General features: G+C 36.7%; 1 protein-coding gene across 10 annotated transcripts in view; it reads right to left on the minus strand.

The window, feature by feature from the left end:
- The window catches only part of AKR1C8 (aldo-keto reductase family 1 member C8), a 69,338-nt gene that overhangs the window by 12,476 nt on the left and 31,581 nt on the right, over window positions 1-25,281 (minus strand). For 7 of the 10 annotated variants that reach the window (XM_047425162.1, XM_047425161.1, XM_047425160.1 and 4 more), the window contains exons 9-10: window positions 8,842-8,990; window positions 7,560-7,653 (exon numbers count right to left, since the gene is read on the minus strand). In XM_047425162.1, coding sequence (XP_047281118.1) covers window positions 8,876-8,990 — 115 coding nt within the window. In that variant the 3' untranslated portion in view covers window positions 7,560-7,653; window positions 8,842-8,875. Of the gene's footprint in view, window positions 1-5,059; window positions 7,102-7,559; window positions 7,654-8,829; window positions 8,991-18,466; window positions 20,625-25,281 lie in introns of those variants that run through there. The other 3 variants (XM_047425163.1, XM_047425157.1, XM_047425165.1) reach the window with 3 other exon arrangements.

Raw genomic sequence — 25,281 nt, forward strand, 5'->3', positions numbered from 1 at the left:
TCTTCAACCAAAAGACTGTTATACACCACAATGGAACCTCCTGAAAGCATAAAACTCACAAATCCTATAAAACAATAACACAACAACAGCAACCAAAAGTATTTAGGTAACAATTGAAATGATGAAAAGAACTGTACCTCACATCTGAATATTAACATTGAACATAAATGGCCTAAATGCTCCACTTAGAAGACACAGAATGGCAGAATGGATAATAAATCACAAACCAAATACCTGCTATCTTCAAGAGACTCACCTAACACATAAAGATTTGGATAAGCTCAAGTTAAAAAGGTGGGAAAAGAGATTCCATGCAAATGGAAACCAAAAGTATTCAGGAGTTGCTACTCTTATATCAGACAAAACAGACTTTAAAGCAACAGCAGTTAAAAAAAAAGACAAAGAAAATAATTATATAATGATAAAAGAATCAATCCAGCAAGAATATATTACAATCTTAAATTTATATGCACCTAATACTGGAGCTCCCAGATTTATAAAACTATTACTAGCAGACTTAAGAAATGAGATAGCAACACACTAATAGTGAGGGACTCAATACTCCACTGTACAGCACTAGTCAGATAATCAAGGCAGAAAGTAAATAGGAAACAATGGATTTAACATACTATAGAAAAAAATTACTAAACAGATGTTTACAGAACATTCTACCCGCCAACTGCGGAACATACATTCTTATCAGCACATGGAACATTCTCCAAGATAGACGATATGATAGGCCACAAAACAAGTCTCATTAAACTTGAGAAAATCCAAATTACATCAAGTATCTTCTCAGAACACAGTGGAATAAAACTAGAAATTGACTCTGAAAGGGACCCTCAAAACTATACAAATACATGGAAATTAAATAATCTGCTCTTGAATGATTTTGGGTTAACAATAAAATCAAAATGGCAATTAAGTAATTTTTTGAAATAAATTATAATAGTGACACAATGAAGACCTCTGGAATATAGCAAAAGCAGTGCTAAGAGGCAAGTTCATATCATTAAATGCCTACATCTAAAAGTCTGAAACAGCACAAATTGACAACCTAATATCACACCTCTATGTACTAGAGAAATAGGAACTAACTAAACCCAAAGATATCTGAAGAAAAGAAATAATATCAGAACAGAACTAAATGAAATTGAAACAAAACACCCCCACAAAAGATCAATGAAAGATAAAGCTGGTTCTTTGATGAGATGAAGAAACTTGATAGACCATTAGTGAGATTAACCAAGAAAAGGAGAGAAGATCCAAGTAAGCTCAATTAGAAATGAAACTGGACACATTACAAATGATATCACAGAAATACAAAAAATCATTCAAGACAACTAAGAACACCTTTATGTGCACAAACTGTAAAATCTAGAGTAAATGGATAAATTCCTAGAAACATACAACCTTCTTAGATTAGATCAGGAAGAAATAGAAAACCAGAACAGACCAATAACAAGCACCAAGAATGAATCAGTAATAAAAAATTGCCAACAAAAAAAGCCAAGGATCAGATGGATTCACAGCAGAATTCTACTTGACATTCAAAAAGAAGTTGGTACGAATCCTACTGAAAATATTCAAAAAGATAGAGAGAGACGGAACTCTGCCTAAATTATTCTGTGAAGCCAGTATCACCCTAATACCAAAACGAGGAAAGGACATAACAAAAATAGAAAACTATAGGCCAATATCCCTGGTGAACATAGATTAAAAAAATCCTCAAGAAAATACTAGCTAACCAAATGCATCAGCATATCAAAAAGATAATACATCATGATCAAGTGGGTTCCATCCCAAGGGTGCAGGGATGGTATAACATAGGCAAGTCAATAAATATGATATATAACACAAAGAGAATTAAAAAAGAAAAACCATATGGTTATCTCAATAGATGCAAAAAAAGCAATTGGTAAAATCCGCCATTGCTTTATGATTAAAACCCTCAACAAACTAGACATAAAAGGGACTTCCCTGAAAATAATAAAAGCCATATATGACAAACCCAAAGCCAACATTATACTGAATGGAGAAAAGTTTAAAACATTCCCCTGAGAACTGGTTCAAGACAAGGATGCTCAATTTTACCACTTCTGTTAATATTAAACTTAATCCTGGAGGTCCTAGCCAGAGAAATCAAGAAAGAAAAAGTAAGAAAGGGCATTGAAATTTGAATAGAGGAAGTTAAAGTATTGCTGTTTGCCAATAATATAATCATATACCTACAAAACCCTAAAGACTCATCCAAAAGTCTCCTAGATTTGATAAACAAATTCAGTAAAGTATCAGGTTACAAAATCAATGTACAGAAATTGATTTCTGCCATAAACCAGCAACAACCATGCTGAGAGTCAAATTAAGAAATCAAGCCCTTTACAACAGCTGTAAATAAAATAAAATAAAATCCCTAGGAACATATTTAATCAAAGAGATGAAACATCTCTACAAGGAAAACTATAAAACACTGCTAAAAGAAATGATACATAAGACAAACAAATGGAAAAACATCCCATGCTTACAGATAGAATCAATACTCTGAAAATGGCCATATTCTAAATTCATATGGAACCACAAAAGAGCCACAATAACCAAAGCAATACTAAGCAAAAAGAAGAAATCTGGAGGCAGTACATTACCAGACTTTGAATTATACTAGAAGGCTGTAGTTAGGAAAGGAGCATAGTATTAATATAAAAATAGGCATTTAGATAAATGAAACAAAATAGAGAACCCAGAAATGAAGTCAAATACTGATCTTTGATAAAGCAAACAAAAACATAAATTGGGGAAAAGACTCTATTCAATAAATGGTGCTGGGATAACTGGTAAGCCACATGTAGAAGAATGAAACTGGATACCATCTCTCCTTATACACAAATCAACTCAAGATGGATCAAAAACTTAAGTCTAAGACCTGAAACCATAAAAATTCTAGAAGATAACATTGGAAAAACTCTTCCTTACATTGGCCTCGACAAAGAATTTATCTCTAAGACCCCCAAAAGCAAATGCACAAAAAACAAAAATAAATAAATGGGACCTAATTAAACTAAAATAATTCTGCACAGCAAAAGAAATAATCATGAGAGTAAAGAGACAACCTACAGAATGAGAGAAAATTTTTGCAAACTACGCTTCCATCAAAGGACTATTGTCCAGAATCTCCAAGGAACTCAAACAAGTCAGCAAGATAAAAACAAATAATCCCATCCAAAAGTGGGCAAATGACACGAATAGACATTTCTCAAAAGTAGATATACAAACAGCCAACAAACATATGAAAAAAGGTTCAACATTACTAATAATCAGGGAAGTGCAAATTAAAACCACAGTGAGACACCACCTTACTCCTGCAAGAATGGTTATAATTTAAAAGTAAAAAAAAAAACAAAAACAGTAGAAGTTGGCATGAATGTAGTGAAAAGAGAACACTTTTACATTGCTGGTGGGAATGTAAATGAGTAAAACTCCTATGGAAAACAGTATGGAGATTCCTCAAAGAACTCAGAAGTAGATCTGCCATTTGATCCATCAGTCCCACTACTGGCATCTATCAAAAAGAAAAGCTTGCATGAAAAAGACACATGCACACACGTGTATAGCAGTGCAATTCACAATTGCAAAAATATAAAACCAACCTAAGAGTCCGTTGACCAATGCATGAATAATGAAAATGTGTTATATGTACATCATAGAATGGTGTATATGTAAAAAGGATTGAAATAATGTCTTTTGTAGCAACTTGGATGGAGATTAAGGCCATTATTCTAAGTAATTCAGGAATGGAAAACCAAACACAGTACCTTCTCACTTATAAGTGGGAACTAAGCTATGAGGATGTAAAGACATACAGATGATATAATGGCCTTTCAGGACTCAGTGTTGGGGGAGGTTGGGAGTAAGGTGAGGGATAAAAGCCTACATATTGAGTACAGTGTCCACTGATGGCCTGATGGGCTCGCTTAAATCTCAGAATCATCACTATAGAATTCATTCATGTAACCAAAATCCACTTGTACCACAAAAGCCATTGAAATTAAAAAATGAGCGCATAAAAAATATTTTACTGATCTGAGCTGTGGCTCAAAAAAGTAAAGTGATTTTCAAGTAACAAATTTGAACACAACAATGATGAGAAAGACATCATCATTTGCCGCCTTTTATTTTAGTTTTAATACATGAATATGTGTCAATAAATTGGAACCAATAAGCACAATTCACCCACCTACAGATCCAGTTACAGAATTGTCATCTCCACACTATCACATTAAATACATGTGCATGCATGCTTATCATAGGCACAGTACCTTTGAAGTGTAGAATATGTCTTCTCTCTTCACACTGTCATCTGCAATCTTGCTTCAGATGGCCAGTCCAACCTGCTCCTCATTATTGTATAAATGAGCAGAATCAATATGGAAGAAACCAGCTTCTATTGCTAATTTTGTAACCTCCACAACTCTATTCCTAGGAACCCGGAGGAGTAATGAAAAGTAGTATTTGGTGATCAATGTGCTCAACAGGTAGTTCAGGCACAAACAATGACCCTCACAAAAATCACATTATTCTTGCATCTTGGGTTAGTTCTATATATGGGGTGATAAATCCATCCCAATTTGCTTTAGTCTTTCCTGCTTAGTAATAAATGTTGGGTATCCCTGGACCTCTTCAATCCCAGGTAATTCCTGGTTGATCACTAGCAATGAGTTTCCCAAGAACAACCTCAGATTCAGTCATTTGTTGGACAAATTAACAAGACTCAAATTACAGTTATAAATATAGTCTTTATTATTACTATTATTATTTGAGACAGAGTCTCACTCTGTCACCCAGGCTAGAGTACAGTGGCACAATCTCAGCTCACTGAAAACTCTGCCCCTCCCCCACTTCATCTCGGACTGAAACAATCCTCTCACCTCCGTCTCCCCAAATAGCTAGGACCACAGATGCGCGCTATTATGCCAGTTAAATTTTTGTATTTTTGGTAGGTACGGGGTTTCGCTATGTTGCCCAGGCTCAAGCTCCCAAACTCAAGGGATCCACCTGCCTCTGCCGCCCAAAATGCTGCGATTACAGGCGTGAGCCACTGCAGGAAGCCTCCTAATTATTTTTAATATAGTGAAATTAACACATGGAAGAAGGCACATGGAAGGAACTACAGGAAGAATACAGTGCAAGTTCCTATGATTCCTCTCTCAGTGATGTTGCACAAAACACACTGACTTCCTCCAGCATCACATTTTGAGAATATAGGGGAAATGTTGTCTACAAGGGATGCTATTTGGACACTTCATTCCCAAGATTTACCTGGGTACTGATTACATTGACCCAGTCTGTGTACCACACACAAAACTCCAAGTCTTGTAAACAAAGCAGATATGTAGAAACCCCACACTTTGTACAAGCAGTTAATTATAGACAGCACCCTTATTAGTTAGGAAATGGTGAGAAATTCTGGCCTCCAACTTTGAAAACAGGTACATCTACGGGTGGCAGTCTGTTGTGTTCACTCCTTTCTACACAGCCATTAGCCATTCTGTGTGCATGACAGAAGTAAATATGACGAGTAAAGACATACACTCCAAGGATGTAGATTTATACATAAGAAATTAACTGCAACCTGTAAAAGATTAGTAAAGTATATTTTAGTCTTAAAAAATAAGGACAACTTTTTTAGGAAAGATATAATTTCAGTGAAATTTAAAATTATTGATTTATCTACCAAATTTGGATGAAGATTTGAAAGGTACATTTTTTAAACAACAAAGCCATGAATAGAACAATTTTCTATTTTAATATGAGTATTTCAGAAGCTTTCTATTTTCAATGATATTAAAAGGAACTAGATGCCAGGTCTCACTGCCTTCCCCTGATACCAGCCCTGATCTTCTCTTTGCTGTGGAGGCACTCAAGGTTTACCAAGGCTAAAGCTTCCATGTTGTGCTTTTCCTTACTTCCCCCTCATGCCAATTTTCATTACAAAGTAAACCGCTAGTGTTGATGGTCTTCAAGATGTCTCTCTGTAAATTCTTACAATGTACAGTTGAGAAAAGTGAGACAAATTTTATATGACTAGTCCTTATTCAAGCACTTAGTAGCCTTGGAATACACGTTTTCTTCCAGTATAGAAATAGTTCAGTCTAGAAAATAAAGTCTCCATTTTGCCTACTTTCATGTCAGGGGACCATCCATACCATTTTGATACAAATCTGATGCATATTAACATGGACCAAAAATCTAAAATTTCTCCTTCGAGGTTCTAGTTTTTTCTTAAAGTTATTTTTCCTTTTAATTTTCCTAGAGGTGAAAGTTGTACATGGGAACTTGTATTAAGTCCAAGACCAGTATTATTACTCTGTCATGCTCAAGGCCACACAGCAGCTCAGCAATACTCTCCCTAAGAGTTTTCATACACCCCGTCTCCAGACACTGTTACCACAAAGATTTTGTTCGATCATGTATACTTGGAAGAACAAACAATTTCTTCAATTATAGAAAGAAACGGAGAAACCATTCCACTGCAGTCAATCACCTACAAAAGGAAATGCCAGGCAGCGTTCTTCACTCTTGAGTTTTAAATATTCTGCAAAGCTGGGAACACCCATAAACAGAAGAAAAAAACAGTGCACAAAATAAAAGTAAGCAGTACACGACCATATGACCAGACCCCAATGCAGAACAAAGATTGACTACCTTTTCTCTTTGAACATGGAATAGCTCTGGCCTATTAAAACAGACCAGGTGAGTCACGCAGAGTAACACAGGAACACAAAGCTAAAACCCAAGTCATCTACTTATTCTAGCTTTGCTCTTTTAAATGCCCAACACTGAAAATATGATTATGTTACCTCTGGAGGTACACAGGTGCCAAATCCTAATACAGGCATGAAATGACCATCATTTAGCTCCACACACTGATATTTGGGATCCATTGAATGTCATTCCTTTCGCTAAGCAGACACGGTTTCCTTCTTCAACATCCAGCATTTATATTCACAGGTTGTATAAACAATGGGCAGGCAATGCTACACTGCCCACTGTCTGGGGCTGACCAATGTCATGTAGGAAGAGGCAAGTGATGGTGTATTACACAGGCTATGAAGAAAATTGAATCCAGTGCACTTGTTTTTTATCAAAGAGAATTCTTAAGTACATTTTAATATAGTCAGAATAAAATTATTATTTTCTTACTAAAGTAAAATTTTCCATCTGGAATCTATCTATCTATCTATCTATCTGGCTATCTATTATCTATCTATCTATCATCTATCATCTATCTATCTATCATCTATCATCTGTCTATCTCATAAATTCCTCCAATAGATTTATAGAATGATTAATTATCATATGTTGGACTATAAAACAACTCCAGCAACAAGTCTCGTTTTTGTTCATGCCGTGATGATGTTTCATCTTTATTTTATGTCATATAAATGATCAATCATTGTACATCTTTCTCTCACATGATGCTAAAGGAATGACTAGTAAGCATTTTTTAACAGGTGACAATAAAAAAGTTAAACATTAAAACCAAAGAAAATTTCTCCTTTTACCTTTCCATCAGCAAATATTTTGGGTTTTTTTTCTTTGCATTGTAGAAGGAATATTCATTCCTGATGAAAATGCAGTCCTGATGATGTTGTAATCCTGACAAGGGTTCAAAGGAAAAAGAAAATGCAGAAATTATGACATGATGTTTATTGGAGTATTAATTAACAATGTCTGGTCTTTGGACATCATTTGTAATATGGAAACAGTGCCTTATAGTATTTGTATCTTTCACATAGTTTTATAAGAAACTATCAAAGGTAATGTTCCAAAAAACTGGTAACTATTTTACATAATTTGTGATCCTGTTAAATGTTATTCATAAAACTGGAATCTAATTACAATAAATTGGTGAATAATCCTCACATGCCTTAATTTTTACTTGTGTCTCTCTTTGGAGGGCAAATTTGAATGTAATGATTGGGCCAGACACGTTGGCTCACACCCGTAATCCCAGCACTTTGGGAGGCTGAGGTAGGTGGATCACTTGAGATCCAGTGTTCAAGACCAGCCTGGCGAATATGACGAAACCTCGTCTCTACCAAAAATACAAAAATTAGCCACGTGTGGTGGCAAATGCCTATAATTCCAGCTACTCAAGAGGCTGAGGCAGGAGATAAGTTCAACCTGGGAGGCAGAGGCTACAGTGAGCCAAGGTCATACCACTGTATTCCAGTTTGCATGATCCATGATTAACATCCCTGATGAATCCACACCAATATCTGTTGTTTTTTGACATTTTAAGAATAGTCATTCTCACTTGTGTAAAATGATATCTTAATGTGCTTTGCTATGTGTTTCATAAGTGTACATTAAATGTAAATGGCTTAAATTTCCACATCAAAAGGACAATTTGCAGAATGGGTTTTAAAAAATCCAGGATGCAACTATATGTTCTGAATCAGAAACTTCCTTTAGAGGAGGACATAAATAGTGTGAACATGAAGGACAACAATAAGTATTTTAAGAAAATAGTAACCAAAGAAAAGGTGTGATAGCTGTACTAGAATCAGACGAAATAACATTTAGTCAAAAATTCTGACAAGAGATAAACAAGATATAAAACACAGGCATATTTTATAGCTATTAAAAGTCACATTCCAGACCACCAACATAAAGCAAATACCACAATAAAATGAATCACATAAATTTTTAAATTTCAACTGTATGTAAAAATTATGTTTACACTATTTTATATTAGGTAAGCAATAGTATCTGTCTAAGGAAACAATATACATATCTTAATTTAAACATTTTTTGTTACAAAATGCTAACAATTTTCTGAACCTTCAGCAGGATGTAATCTTTTGGCTGCTAGAAACTATTCCCTCACTGGGAGTCCATTCCAAGATGGCTGAATATGAACAGCTCCCATCTGCAGCTCCCAGCGTGATTGATGCAGAAGACAGAGGCCAGCATCATCCTGATACCAAAGCCTGGCAGAGACACAACAAAAAAGAGAATTTTAGACCAATATCCCTGATGAGCATCAAGGCAAAAATCCTCAATAAAATACTGGCAAACCGAATCCAGCAGCACATCAAAAAGCTTATCCACCAAGATCAAGTTAGCTTCATCCCTGGGATGCAAGACTGGTTCAACATACACAAATCAATAAACGTAATCTATCACATAAACAGGACCAACAACAAAAATCACATGATTATCTCAATAGATGGAGAAAAGGCCTTCGACAAAATTCAACCCTGCTTCATGCTAAAAACTCTCAATAAACTAGGTAATAAGAGCTATTTATGACAAACCCACAGCCAATATCATACTGAATGGGCAAAAACTGGAAGCATTCCCTTTGAAAACTGGCACAATATTGGGGCAACTTGCCCCCAATACTTCAGTGTATGTTCTTTCTATTTTCCATGAGTGTCAGCCAGCTGAGAAATAAAGAGAGACAGTATAAAGAGAGGAATTTTACAACTGGGCCGCCAGGGGTGACATCACATATCAGTAGGACCGTGATGCCTGCCTGAGCCTCAAAACCAGCAAATTTTTATTAAGGATTTCAAAAGGGGAGGGGGTGTAAGAACAGGGAATAGGTACAAAGATCACATGCTTCAAAGGGCAAAAAGCAGAACTACTAATAAGGGTCTAAGAAAGATCACATGCTTCTGAGGGAACAGGACAAAGGGCAAAAGCAGAACTACTGATAAGGGTCCAACAAAGATCATAAGGCAAAGGGCAAAAGCAGAACTACTGATAAGGGTCTATGTTCAGCGGTGCACGTACTGTCTTGATAAACATCTTACACAACAGAAAACAGGGTTCGAAAGCAGAGAACTGGTCTGACCACAAATTTACCAGAGTGGAGTTTTTCCACACCCTAGTAAGCCCAAGGGTACTGCAGGAGACCAGGGTGTATCTCAGCCCTTATCTCAACCACATAAGAAAAACATTCCCAGAGCGGCCGTTTATAGACCTCACCCCAGTAATGCATTCCCTTCCCAGGGTATTAATATTAATATTCCTTGCTAGGAAAAGAATTTAGTGATATCTTCCCTACTTGCACGTCCATTTATAGGCTGTTTGCAAAAAGAAAAATATGGCTCTTTTTGCCTGACCCTGCAGGCAGTCAGACCTTATGGTTGTCTTCCCTTGTTCCCTAAAAATCACTGTTATTCTGTTCTTTTTCAAGGTGCACTGATTTCATATTGTTCAAACACACAAGTTTTACAATCAATGTGTACACTTAACAGAATTATCACAGTGGTCTTGAGGCGATGTACATCCTCAGCTTATGAAGATAACAGGATTAAGAGATTAAAGTAAAGACAGGCATAAGAAATTATAAAAGTATTATTTGGGAACTGATAAATGTCCATTAAATCTTCACAATTTATGTTCCTCTGCCACAGCTCCAGTCGGTCCCTCCATTCGGCGTCCCTGACTTCCCACAATAGCACAAGACAGGGATGCCCTCTCTCACCACTCCTATTCAACATAGGAGCAAGAGAAATCAGGCAAGAGAAAGAAATAAAGAGTATTCAATTAGGAAAAGAGGAAGTCAAATTGTCCCTGTTTGCAGATGACATGATTATATATCTAGAAAACCCCAACATCTCAGCCCAAAATCTCCTTAAGCTGATAAGCAACTTCAGCAAAGTCTCAGGATACAAAATCAATGAGCAAAAATCACAAGCATTCCTATACACCAATAACAGATAGAGAGCCAAATCATGAGTGAACTCCCATTCACAATTGCTTCAAAGAGAATAAAATACCTAGGAATCCAACTTACAAGGGATGTGAAGGACCTTTTCAAGGAGAACTACAAACCACTGCTCAATGAAATAAAAGAGGACACAATGGAAGGACATTCCATGCTCATGGATAGGAAGAATCAATATGGTGAAAATGGCCATACTGCCCAAGGTAATTTATAGATTCAATGCCATCCCCATCAAACTACCAATGACTTTCTTCACAGAATTGGAAAAAACTACTTTAAAGTTCATATGGAACCAAAAAAGAGCCTGCATTGCCAAGACAATCCTAAGCAAAAAGAACAAAGCTGGAGGCATTATGCTACCGGACTTCAAACTATACTACAAGGCTACAGTAACCAAAACAACATGGTACTAGTACCAAAACAGAGATATAGACCAATGGAACAGAACAGAGCCCTCAGAAATATCACCACACCTCTACAACCATCTGATCTTTGATAAACCTGACAAAAACAAGAAATGGGGAAAGGATTCCCTATTTAATAAATGGTGCTGGGAAAACTGGCTAGCCATATATAGAAAGCTGAAATTGGATCCCTTCCTTATATCTTGTACAAAAATTAATTCAACATGGATTAAAGACTTAAATGTTAGACCTAAAACCATAAATACCGTAGAAGAAAACCTAGGCAATACCATTCAGGACATAGGCATGGGCAAGGACATCATGACTAAAACACCAAAAACAATGGCAACAAAAGCCAAAATAGACAAATGGGATCTAGTTAAAGAGCTTCTGCACAGCAAAAGGAACTACCATCAGAGTGAACAGGCAACCTACAGAATGGGAGAAAATTTTTGCAACCTACCCATCTGACAAAGGGCTAATATCCAGAATCTACAAAGAACTTAAACAAATTCACAAGAAAAAATCAAACAACCTCATCAAAAAGTGGGCAAAGGACATGAATAGACACTTCTCAAAAGAAGACATCTATGCAGCAAACAGACACATGAAAAAATGCTCATCATCACTGGTCATCAGAGAAATGCAAATCAAAACCACAATGAGATACCATCTCACACCAGTTAGAATGATGATCATTAAAAAGTCAGGAAACAACAGATGCTGGAGAGGATGTGGAGAAATAGGAATGTTTTTACACTGTTGGTGGGAGTGTAAACTAGTTCAACCACTGTGGAAGACAGTGTGGCGATTTCTCAAGGATCTAGAACTAGAAATACCATTTGACCCAGCGATCCCATTACTGGGTATATACCCAAAGGATTATAAATCATGCTACTATAAAGACACATGCACACATATGTTTACTGCAGCACTATTCACAATAGCAAAGACTTGGAACCAACCCAAATGTCCATCAATGATAGACTGGATTAAGAAAATGTGGCACATATACACCATGGAATACTATGCAGCCATAAAAAAGGATGAGTTCATGTCCTTTGTAGGGACATGGATGAAGCTGGAAACCATCATTCTGAGCAAACAATCTCAAGGACAGAAAACCAAACACCACATGTTCTCACTCATAGGTGGGAACTGAACAATGAGAACGCTTGGACACAGGGCGGGAAACATCACACACCAGGACCTGTTGTGGGGTGGGGGGTTGGGGGAGGGATAGCATTAGGAGAAATACCTAATGTAAATGACGAGTTAATGGGTGCTGCAAACCAACATGGCACATGTACATATATGCAACATACCTGCACATTGTGCACATGTACATATATGCAACATACCTGCACATTGTGCACATGTACCCTAGAACTTAAAGTATAATTTAAAAAAAGAAAGAAAGAAAGAAATTATTCCCTCACTGTTGATTGCTGCTGACTGATCAGGGTCATGGTTGCTGAGTTCTGAAATGACTGTGGCAATTTCTTAAATAAAATACAACAATGAAATTTGCCTCATTGATAGACTTCTTTCATGAAAGATTTCTCTGTAGAGAGATTTCTCTGCTGTTTGACAGCTTACACAGTGTGGAACTTCTTTGAAAGTTGAAGTCAATTCTCTGTAACCCAGCCACTGCTTTATCAACTATCTTTTCATAATATTTTAAATCCTTTGTTGTCATTGCAGCAATATTTACAGCATCTTCACCATCTCACAATGGTTAAGAAAAGAGTAGATTTCAACCCAAGAACAACTTTTTGTGCATTCATATGAAGGAACTCTTAATCTCTTAAAGTTTTATCATGAAATTACAGCAATTCAGTCACATATTAAGGCTCTACTTCTCATTCTACCTTTCTTGCTATTTCCATTACATCTGCAGTTACCAAAGCCTTAACCCCCTTAAAATCATCCATGAGAGTTGTAATTAACTTTTTCCAAACTTCTATTCATGTTGATATTTTGACATTTTCTTATGAATTTCTTACAAATTTTCATGATGGCATTCAGAATGCTGAATTCTTTCCAGAAGGCTTTCCATTTACTTTTCCTAGATTCATCAGAAGAATCATTATCTACAGCAGCTGTAACTGATTGAAATGTATTTTATGAACAATAAGACTTGAAAGTTAAAATTGCTCCTTTATCCATGTACTGAAGAATAAATATTGTGAAAGCAGTCATAAAAACAGAAGTAATCTTTTGGTACCTCTGCATTAGAACTCTTTATTAACCAGGTGTATTGCCATTCAACAGTAATATTTTGAAAGGAATCTCTATTTTTGAGCAGGTTTCAACTTCTGCTTTTTATTTTAAACAGTAGACTTGAAATATTCAGTAACCATGCTATAAAGAGCTATGCTGTAAGACAGCTTTTTCTATTTATAGAGCATGGTTTTGAAATTATAACAAAGCATTGGTTTTATCCTGAAATCACCAGGAATGGGAGCTACTAACACAAGAGTCAGCCTGTCTTTTGAATCCAGGCATTGACTTCCTTTTAAATATGAAAGTCCTAGATGGCACCTTTTTTGGTACAAGGCCCTTTCATCTACATTCAAAATCGATTGCTTATTGTAGTCGCTTTCATTAATGATCTTACATAAATCTTCTGGTTGACCTGCTGCAGATTCTCCATCAGTACTTGCTTTATTTTGCACTTTTTTGTTATGGAAATGGCTTATTTTATTCAACCTCATGAATCAACCTCTACTAGATTTCTAACATCTTCTCTGCCGCATCCTCACCTCTATGAGCCTTCATACACTTGAAGAGAGTTAAGGTCTTCTTCTGGATTAGGCTTTGGCCTAAGGGAATGTTGTGGCTGGTTGATCTTCTGTCCACGTCATTAAAACTTTCTTCTTATCAGTAGTAAAGCTTGTTTTGCATTCTAACCATTTCGTATTCACTGGAGTAGCACTGTAGTTTCCTTAAAGAACTTTTCCTTTGTATTCACAACTTGGCTAATAATTAACACAATAGACCTAGCTTTCAACCTACCTCAGCCTTCAACATGCATTCCTCAATAAGCTTAATCATGTGTAGCTTTTGTGCTTAAATGAAAAATACGTTATTCTTTCTTTCATGTGAATATTTAGAGGTCACTGTAGGGTTACAATTTGACCTAGTTTTAACATCGTTATGTCTTAGGGTATAGGAAGGCCTGAACAGAGGGAAAGAGATAGGGGAACCACCTGTCACTGAAGCGGTCAGAAGACACACAATTATCTATTGCATTCACTATCTTATATGGGCACAGTTTAGGGTATCCCAAAACAAGTATAACAGTAACATCAAGATTACAGATCAGACATTACCATAACAGATATAATAATACAGTGGAAGTTTGAAATATTGCAAAAATTACTGAAATGTGGGGAAAAAACACAGAGTGAACATGTGCTATTGGAAAAATGGTACTAACAGGCTTGTTCAATGCAGGGTTGCTACAAATGTTCAATTCCTTTTTTAAAAAAATACAGTATCTTTGAAGGACAAAAAAGTGAGTCATAACAAAATGAGGTGTACTGTGTTCATAAATGGGTTAATTTATAAGGAATATATCAAGTGTAACCGTTAATTTTAGGTGCCAACTGGATTGGATTAAGCAGTATGCCAATACATGGTAGGGCATCATTTCTGGGTGTACCTGTGAGGATGACTCTGCATGATATTGACATTTGAATCAAGGGACCAACTTAAAAAAATTGCCCTAATTCAATATGGGAAACAACCCTTCTATTAGCTGACGTTTCTGATAAACAAGCAGAGGAAAAGTCAGCTTGCTCTCTCTCTCCTGAAGCTGGGTCACCCATCTTCTACCCGTGGACATCAGAACTCCAAGCCTTCTGATCTTTGAACTTGTTCACGAGTGCCTTCTACCCCTGGACGTCAGAAACATCAGAACTCCAGGCCTTCTGATCTTTGCACTCTAGGACTTTCACCAGTGGCCCTCAGCTTCTCAGGCTTTCAGCCTTAGACTGGAGGATACTTTGATGACTCCCCTGATTTCAGGCCTTCACAGTTGGAATTGGCCATGGCACTGGCTTTCATGGTTCTACAGCTTTTGAAAGGTGCTTGGTAGCGCTTTTCAGAAAACATAATTGAAATGAGGCAATCCCTCAAATGTATTCCTGTTCATACATAAAATCATAAAAATGATTTTATACATTTATATATGAGATGACACACATATACATGTATATATAATACATGTGTAAACATATGGATCTAACATATACTAGATATATTATTAAATATATTTAGATATATATTATATATAATATCTATATATTTATATCTATATATATTTTAGATTTCTGTTTCTTTGGAGAATTTTAACCATATTGATTTTGGCAGTGGAAGTGGTTCTAGGGGAACAGAATTTATACTGAGTTTTCTGAATTCATTTTGGAGTTTATGGAATGACCACTCTAATCTAACCAAACTTGAGAATACTAAAGACTCTATTTCCAATAATACAGAAAGTGCTAATAGTTGACAATATGAACTGTTCTTAGAGATGCATAAACTATCCACATTACCATATTCCACAATTTGCAAAAGGCCAGGAAATTGGTAACTCTATATATGATACTTTTGAATAGTTATGGAAAATTATTCAGTTTCAGCTTTCTACATATGGCTAGCCAGTTTTCCCGGCACCATTTATTAAATAGGGAATCCTTTCCCCATTGCTTGTTTTTCTCAGGTTTGTCAAAGATCAGATAGTTGTAGATATGCGGTGTTACTTCTGAGGGCTCTGTTCTGTTCCATTGATCTATATCTCTGTTTTGGTACCAGTACCATGCTGTTTTGGTTACTGTAGCCTTGTAGTATAGTTTGAAGTCAGGTAGCGTGATGCCTCCAGCTTTCTTCTTTTGGCTTAGGATTGACTTGGCGATGCGGGCTCTTTTTTGGTTCCATATGAACTTTAAAGTAGTTTTTTCCAAATCTGTGAAGAAAGGCATTGGTAGCTTGATGGGGATGGCATTGAATCTGTAAATTACCTTGGGCAGTATGGCCATTTTCACGATATTGATTCTTCCTACCCATGAGCATGGAATGTTCTTCCATTTCTTTGTATCCTCTTTTATTTCCTTGAGCAGTGGTTTGTAGTTCTCCTTGAAAAGGTCCTTCACATCCCTTGTAAGTTGGATTCCTAGGTATTTTATTCTCTTTGAAGCAATTGTGAATGGGAATTCACTCATGATTTGGCTCTCTGTCTGTTATTGGTGTATAAGAATGCTTGTGATATTTGTACATTGATTTTGTATCCTGAGACTTTGCTGAAGTTGCTTATCAGCTTAAGGAGATTTTGGGCTGAGACAATGGGGTTTTCTAGATATACAATCATGTCGTCTGCAAACAGGGACAATTTGACTTCCTCTTTTCTTAATTGACTACGCTTTATTTCTTTCTCCTGCCTAATTGCCCTGGCCAGAACTTCCAACACTATGTTGAATAGGAGTGGTGAGAGAGGGCATCCCTGTCTTGTGCCAGTTTTCAAAGGGAATGCTTCCAGTTTTTGCCCATTCAGTATGATATTGGCTGTGGGTTTGTCATAGATAGCTCTTATTATTTTGAAATATGTCCCATCAATACCTAATTTATTGAGAGTTTTTAGCATGAAGGGTTGTTGAATTTTGTCAAAGGCCTTTTCTGCATCTATTGAGATAATCATGTGGTTTTTGTCTTTGGCTCTGTTTATATACTGGATTACATTTATTGATTTGCATATATCAATTCAAGATGGATTAAAGACTTAAACGTTAGACCTAAAACCATAAAAACCCTAGAAGAAAACCTAGGCAATACCATTCAGGACATAGGCATGGGCAAGGACTTCATGTCTAAAACACCAAAAGCAATGGCAACAAAAGACAAAATTGACAAATGGGATCTAATTCAACTAAAGAGCTTCTGCACAGCAAAAGAAACTACCATCAGAGTGAACAGGCAACCTACAAAATGGGAGAAAATTTTCGCAACCTACTCATCTGATAAAGGGCTAATATCCAGAATCTACAATGAACTCAAACAAATTTACAAGAAAAAAAACAAACAACCCCATCAAAAAGTGGGCAAAGGACATGAACAGACATTTCTCAAAAGAAGACATTTATGCAGCCAAAAAACACATGAAAAAATGCTCATCATCACTGGCCATCAGAGAAATGCAAATCAAAACCACAGTGAGACACCATCTCACACCAGTTAGAATGGCAATCATTAAAAAGTCAGGAAACAACAGGTGCTGGAGAGGATGTGGAGAAATAGGAACACTTTTACACTATTGGTGGGACTGTCAACTAGTTCAACCATTGTGGAAGTCAGTGTGGCGATTCCTCAGGGATCTAGAACTAGAAATACCATTTGACCCAGCCATCCCATTACTGGGTATATACCCAAAGGATTATAAATCATGCTGCTATAAAGACACATGTGCACATATGTTTATTGCGGCACTATTCACAATAGCAAAGACTTGGAACCAACCCAAATGTCCAACAATGATAGACTGGATTAAGAAAATGTGGCACATATACACCATGGAATACTATGCAGCCATAAAAAATGATAAGTTCATGTCCTTTGTAGGGACATGGATGAAATTGGAAATCATCATTCTCAGTAAACTATTGCAAGAACAAAAAACCAAACACCGCATATTCTCACTCATAGGTGGGAATTGAACAATGAGGTCACATGGACACAGGAAGGGGAACATCACACTCTGGGGGACTGTTGTGGGGTGGGGGGAGGGGGGAGGGATAGCATTGGGAGATATACCGAATGCTAGATGACGAGTTAGTGGGTGCAGCACCAGCATGGCACATGTATACGTATGTAACTAACCTGCACAATGTGCACATGTACCCTAAAACTTAAAGTATAATAATAAAAGAAGAAAAAAAATTATTCAATAAAATAATGTTGCTTGGTTGTAACTAATGTTGATTGGTAAAGTTAAAAAAATTAGCTCAGGTATTTGAAATAACAGATCAAGCAATGTATCCATGACCTAAGAGCTTCTAGATATCCCGAGAGAGAAGCTTATGTCTCGTAATATAGAAAGTGCTAATAGTTTACAATATGAACTGTTTTTGCAGATGCATAAACTATCCACATTACCATACTCCACAATTTGTGAAAGGCCAGGAAATTAGTGACTCTATATATGATACTTTTGAATAGTTATGGAAAACTATTCAAAATAACCCACTCTATGGGTTGTCTGTTTACTCTGCTGACTGTTCCTTTTGCCATGCAAAAGCTCTTTAGTTTAATTAGGTCCCAGCTACTTATCTTTGCTTTTATTGCATTTGCTTTTGGGTTCTTGGTCATGAAATCATTGCCTAAGCCAATGTCTAGAAGGGTTATCTTCTCAAATGGAAAGCTTTGTCACTAATGGTATGTCTGTGATTATCGGGTATTAAGATCACTCACTCAGGATGTACTGGTTCTAGGTGTGTAGAGAAATTAGATACTGTCTTAGTACATTTGTGTTGCTATAAAGGCATACCCGAAGGTGAGTAATTTATAAAGAAGTCTCTTTGGCTCATGGTTCTGCATACTGTACAAGAAGCATGGCACTGGTATCTGGTAGGCCTCTGGTGAGGGCCCCAGGCTGCTTCCATTCATGGCAAAAGGAGACGTGGAGTTAGCATGCGCTGACGTCAGATGGTGAGATAGGAAAGCAATAGAAGGCGAGTAAGGTGCCAGGCTCTTTTTAACAAGCAGCCATCAAGAAAAGAAATAATGCAAGAATTCACTCACTACTGCAGGCAGAGCACCAAGCCACTCATGATGGATCTGTCCCAATGACCATAACAATCCCACTAGGCCCCACTTCCTACATTGAGAACTCAGCATATGGTTTAGAGGGTCAAATATCGCAATTACAGCATTCTTCCCCTGGCCCAGCACCAACTTAAAATTCCAAAGTACAAAAGTTCATCTCAGACTCAAGGCAAGTTCCTGCTGGTTATGAGCCTGTGAAGTCAAAAACAAGTTATTTGCTTTTGAAGTACAACATCGTTATCAGTTGTGAGTAAACATTCCTTTTCCAGAAGGTAAAAAATTAACCAAAAAAAAAAATGGTGTGGGTAAAGTCAGGAGAAACAGGACCTGTGGAAGCCAGAATCCCAGCAAGGCAGACGTTCAACCTTATAGTTCCAAGATAATTTCTGGTGACTTTGTGTCCTGCATCCTGGGCACATTGATGCAAAGGGCCAGCTCTCAAGCATTTGGGCAGCCCTGTCTCCATGGCTTTGCTGGGCACAGCCCACATGGCTACTCTTACAGGTTGGAGTTCTATGCCTGTGAGACTTTTCCAGGCAGAAGTTTCAAGCTGCCAAAGGGTCTGTGATTCTGGGATCTGGACGGCTGTGGTCCTGCTCCCACATCTCCACTAGGTAGAAACACCATGGTGACTTCTGATCCCACATTTCTGCTTATCATTGCTCAAGTAGAGACTCTGGGTGGGGCCTCCACCCATGCATTAGGCTTCTGCCTGGCTCAGCGAAGCTGCCAAATCTCAACTACTCTTGTGCCACAGAGATATCAGGTTTGAAACTCCCCTCCTTTTTTTGTATTTTTCTACTCAGCATTTCCTCCAGTAGCCAGGTGTGAGGCCTCTGGCTTCACAAGACTCAAGGGACTAGGTGGCTGCTACGTGGGGGCTTCTGCCTGAAGATTGTATACAATCTGGCTGAATGAGAAACTGATCTCAGGAGGCCAGGAGAATGCTCAGTAGTATAGGAGATAGAGAGGAGGAGGAACATAGGAGATAGAGAGGAGGAGGGGAGAAGCAGGGAAGGAGGAAAGTAAAAATAAGAAGTGGGGAGGAGAGATGCAGGGCATCCTTGAGTCAGCAATAACACTCATGTGCCTCAAATAAATAATTGATCTTATTGTAAACCAAAAAGTAACCCAGGCAGATATCAATCTATTAGAGGTTTGTTTTGGCAAGGTTGAGGACACACCCAAGAAAGAAAAATGCAAGTCACAGTAAGATCTTTGACCTGAACTTTTTTCAAAGAGGATTTTGGGAACTGCAATATCTAAAGGGTAAAGAACAAATATTTGAGGATAAAAAAATGCAGGTCAGGTACAGAATGAGGCAAGTGATTACATTCTTGTGAGCCTCTTATTAGTGCTCACTGAATCTACTATCTTACACGTGAAAACAAAGCAGTAGGGAAAAAATTGTGCATTTGTCTTGCGCTCAATAAATCTACATTTTATATAGGATATAGTAAGCATGCAAAATTACAGATATCTGTTTGGAAATAAAAGGAAGGCAGCTTTTGGATGACTCCATTACCAAGCTTAACTTTCCTTCTGACATAGTGAGTATGGGGTCCAGAGAATATATTTTTCTTTCTTTCCTTTCTTAGTAAGGCTCATTCCTATGTCATACCAGGAAGTCTAATTTCTAGGAGGCTGTGAAGTCTTGCGTCCTGTGGAAGAAAGCAGGGACAGAAAGAAAGAAAAAATAGAAAAAAAGATGCCAAGGTCAGATTACAACAAGAAAAGGAAAGGAATCCTGGAAGACAGATTCTGTCTTTACTACTAAAAACTCTACAGTCAGTAAGCACAAATATATATATAGCTGTTATATATATTTAAATGTTTGGTGATTCCAAGTAAGGAAAGTAGTAGAAAAAAATGAAAACATAATTTTGTTGACTTGTAGCCAGAAAATAATTTAGGATTCAGACCAGATAAATTGTAGTAAGTAATAAAAACTGAGAAGCAATGGACAAGTGTAGACTCTAATAACAGGTGTACTATAGTTTCTTTTGAAACATACTTTTTCTCTCCAGTCCCTAGATTTTATCAAAGACAAATAATGATAGAAACAATTTATTTGCAAAATATGTCATAGTCTTATTATTCTTGGCCTGATTATTTGCATACATTGCAACAAGAATAATTATTGTTCAATAGGCTCTTTATAAATTGGCTTTGCTGAAGCTATTTAAAAGACTCTCAGATTAGACTTTTAAAGACCTTTCTATCTCAGCCAAAAATGTATCTGTGCCTTCAGATGAATTGCATAAATTGGTTTATTTTCTCTTTTTTGTGGTCTCAAAATAACTTGAAGTTACTGGACCTGTCATAAAATGGCATTCTTTATTTTTCACAGGTAAGAAACCCTGTAGATGGAATAGGCAAGGTAAAAGGACAGTCTTTCCAAGGCACTTTTATTGGCTTTATAAAGTTAACCTCCATTTCTCAAAGTAATCTGTTCATTTCTGCAAATATGTCATTCCAGTTAAAGCTTTGATAAATTATTAGTGTCTTATTCCAAAAACAAACACATTCTTATTAAACTTATGTGAATAACTATGTTGCCATAAATTAAGAATACTCACAAATACGTTTCAAATTCTGGAAGAATTAGGCGAAGAGAAAAAATATTTTTCAAATTTTGTTTCAAATTTTTCTCAAAAAAGAATATTTTACTCAGTCACTGAAAGCTATAAAAACAGCTCAAAAGAATAAAGTCTTCTGGACTTTGAAAAACAAAACAGAAAGAATCAGCAGTAATTTAAACAAAATGTCATAAAATTGTTTTAGTCTTCTATTAGTTTGGTCCCATGCAATGAACTCATGTTGTTTGATATTGGAGCTAATAATTTTATGAACATATTAGCTCTTCACTGAGGGGATTCCAGGATGTTTTCTTTAGTCCAATGGCACAATTTCCATGGTTACTACAAAAATGCATTTAAATGTACCCGTTGGACTCCTTTCTGCAAGTGTATTTAAAGAAGCAAGTCTTGGACAAGAGGTGATTATAAGTTGCTTTTTGAGAAGGATCAAATTAAGACAACAATTGTCTTTGGATGACAAAATTCTTAGGATAGCCATGATCAAAGACACAATTGACAAAGGAATATTTTATGCCATACACCAATTTAACATAAAAATTATAATAATTAAGAATATATACTAAGATATATCAGAATTATAGAAATCTCATATAATTGAAGAACACATATTAATAACACCCTATATAAATCACACTCAAAGAAAGTTAAACACTATTTCATATTTGACAATGCTTCCTGTATAATTTTAACATCTCAAATATGTAAGTTTTGGACTTTAGGAGCCCTAATATTTGTGAAAGTTAATGAGGTAAAAAAGACTAAATGTGTAACTTGAACTTTTGATTTTTGGAACGTTTGTCAAATAGCAAAGCCTTAAGACATTTTATACCACAAAATAAAGTCACAGATCACTGTAAAATAAGTCATTCATTTAGCCACATAATAATGCAAAGATTAAAAAAAAAACCTCTACTTCTCATAGAAAGGAGACTCAGTTTCCCAAGAAATAAGACCTAATCAAGACAACATTGTAACTGCCCGGTGGGTTCTCCTTGCCACTGCCTAGAATGAGCTGATCTATCAAGACAGGGGAATTGCAATAGAGAAAGAGATTAATTCACACTGTTCCAGGTATATAGAAGAACAGAGTTTTATTACTACTCAAATCAGTCTCCCTGAAGACTCAGGGGTTGGAATTTTTAAGAATAACTTGGTGGGTAGGGGACCAGTGAGTCAGGAGTGTTGATTGGTTGGGTTGGAGATTAAATCATAGGGAGTTGAAGCTGTCCTCTTGCACTGAGTCAGTTCATGGGTGGGGGGCACAAGACCGAATGAGCCAGTTTATTAATCTGGGTGGCACCAGCTGATCTATCAGGTTCAGGGTCTGCAAAATATCTCAAGCACTGATCTTAGGCTTTACAAAAGTGATGTTATCCAGGAGCAATTTATGGAAGTTCAGAATCTTATAGCCTCCAGCCGCATGACTCGTAAACCATAATTTCTAATCTTGTGGCTAATATATTAGTCCTACTAAAGCAGTCTAGTCCCCAGGCAGGAAAGGGTTTGTTTTGGGAAAGGGCTGTTATCATCTTTGTTTCAAACTACAAACTAAGTTCCCCCAAAAGTTAGTTCAGCCTATGCCCATGAGTGAACAAGAAGAGCTTGGAGGTTAGAAGCAGGATGGAGTCAGTTTGTTTCCTTCTCTTTCACTGCAATAATTTTCTAATTATAATTTTGTACTAGTGGTTTCAATTCTTCCCTTTGGGTTTTTTTTTTTTTTTTTGAGACACAGTCTTGTTCTGTCACCCAGGCTGGCATACAGTGGCACAATCTCAGCTTACTGCAACCTCTGCCTCCTGGGTTCAAGTGATTCTCCTACCTCAGCCTCCTAAGTAGCTGGGATTACAGGCACACACCACCATGCCTGGCTAATTTTTGTATTTTCAGTAGAGATGGGATTTCACCATGTTGGCCAGGCTGGTCTTAAACTCCTGACCTCAGGTGATCTGCCCACCTCGGCCTCCCAAAGTGCTGGGATTAAAGGCATGAGCCACTGCACCCAGCCCCTTTGAGTTTTATAACACCTTATTCTTAAGGTGTGGGCTATAAAAATGGGAAAAGGCCAATGACCACTCTGGCTTCTTCCTGCTGACAGGAGTCATAGTAGGAATAGAGTTGACCTCAAGTTGAGGTCTGTACTCATGCAGGCTGGGCTGGGATTCTAAGGTTTGCATGACAAAGGCATTATTATTGTCATCTATAATTTTAGTATAGCATTTAAACAAACAGCATACTATCAGGTAAATAATGAATTCTAGGATAAAGAGTGCAATTTCCAGTTTTAAATGTAAAAATTTGAAAGCACTAGTTTGGGGACTTGCAGCCCACAAAGAATTTGGGATTTAGTGCAAATTACAGAAAATAATAAAAACTCAAGAACAACTAACAACAGGTGTGCTATAGTTTTTTGAAACATAATTTTTGTCTTTCCAGTTCCCATTTGGGAATGCCACTGTTTGCTTGAATCATACATAGAGCTCTAGCCCATATTTGCTGTTACCGCCAAAAATGGACACAATTTTTTAAGCAAACTGATCTATGTGGCTCAGAGTAAATCATCACAGCAACTTGTATAAGTAGCTTTGTGACTGTTGATGTATAAACTGCTCAGAAAATTTACTGGAACACCAGGATCAAACTACAACTCAGAAAAATTGTCAGATTGCCATTGCAATTTAAAAATACTTCAAGGACTCTAGAAAACCTCATCTGTGGACTACTTCAGACATTAACATTTTTCTCCGTGGAAATGCTGTGGGGAAGAGGGATTCTAGTTTCTGTGGCTAGCCTTGGAGAAGAATGGGACTGAGAGACAGCAGATTAGGAGAGGGTCAGAGAAAACCTTTTGCTTCTGGGGCCTTCATTTGAGGGTATTGTTTTATGAGTCCCAACATTAATTAAATTGTATGCCTTTTCATAATGAGTCTGCCTTTCATCAGGTGATTTTCATTGGCCCTTCAGAGTGCAAAGGGAAAATTTTCTCTTAGCCCCTAAAGCTGTGATTTTAATGCGGGGAGATATTTTCTTTTCTTTGTATTACTGGACAGTAAACATGTCTTCATTTTCTTGGAGGGAGCTACCACCTTTATATGACAAAGCTGTTCAATGTACAAATTTCTTGAAAAAAAAGTTTGGAATGGAGGGCAATCAGTGGCCTTATCAAATATGCAGCAATGTTAGAGATCTTGCAGAAGGATCTCCCTACAAGCACTTAGCAATTTCTAACAACTACGTACTTATATGTTTCTTGCATTCATAGTTGACATTCTCCACTAGACTACAAACTCAGGGATTTTAAAATTTTTATTTTGTTTAATTTTTGCCTATTTAATTTACTGCTAAAACAACGTGTGGCATACAATGGATACTCAATAAAGTTTTGCTTAATAAATGAATGAATGGAACAATATACAAAAATAATAAAAATGCCGAAATGTGGGTAGATGATTAAGAAACAAAATACATTGAAAGATACACTGCTTTACAACAAGTAAAATATAATTCTGTAATTTTTGAATAATAGTTGCTTGCTTGGAAAAATATGGTAGTTATTTAAAAAGTATAGAATCTGAACATTGATTATTTCAAGTTTATAAAAACACATATGTAAATAAGTGAACATTGGGTTAGTCCGTTGTCACACTGCTATAAAGGAATACCTAAGACTGGGTAACTTTTATAAAAGTTTAATTGGCTCACAGTTCTGCAGGCTGTGTAG

Source organism: Homo sapiens, chromosome 10 (genome assembly GCF_000001405.40).
Source record: "Homo sapiens chromosome 10, GRCh38.p14 Primary Assembly".
In the NCBI taxonomy this organism is placed as follows: domain Eukaryota; kingdom Metazoa; phylum Chordata; class Mammalia; order Primates; family Hominidae; genus Homo; species Homo sapiens.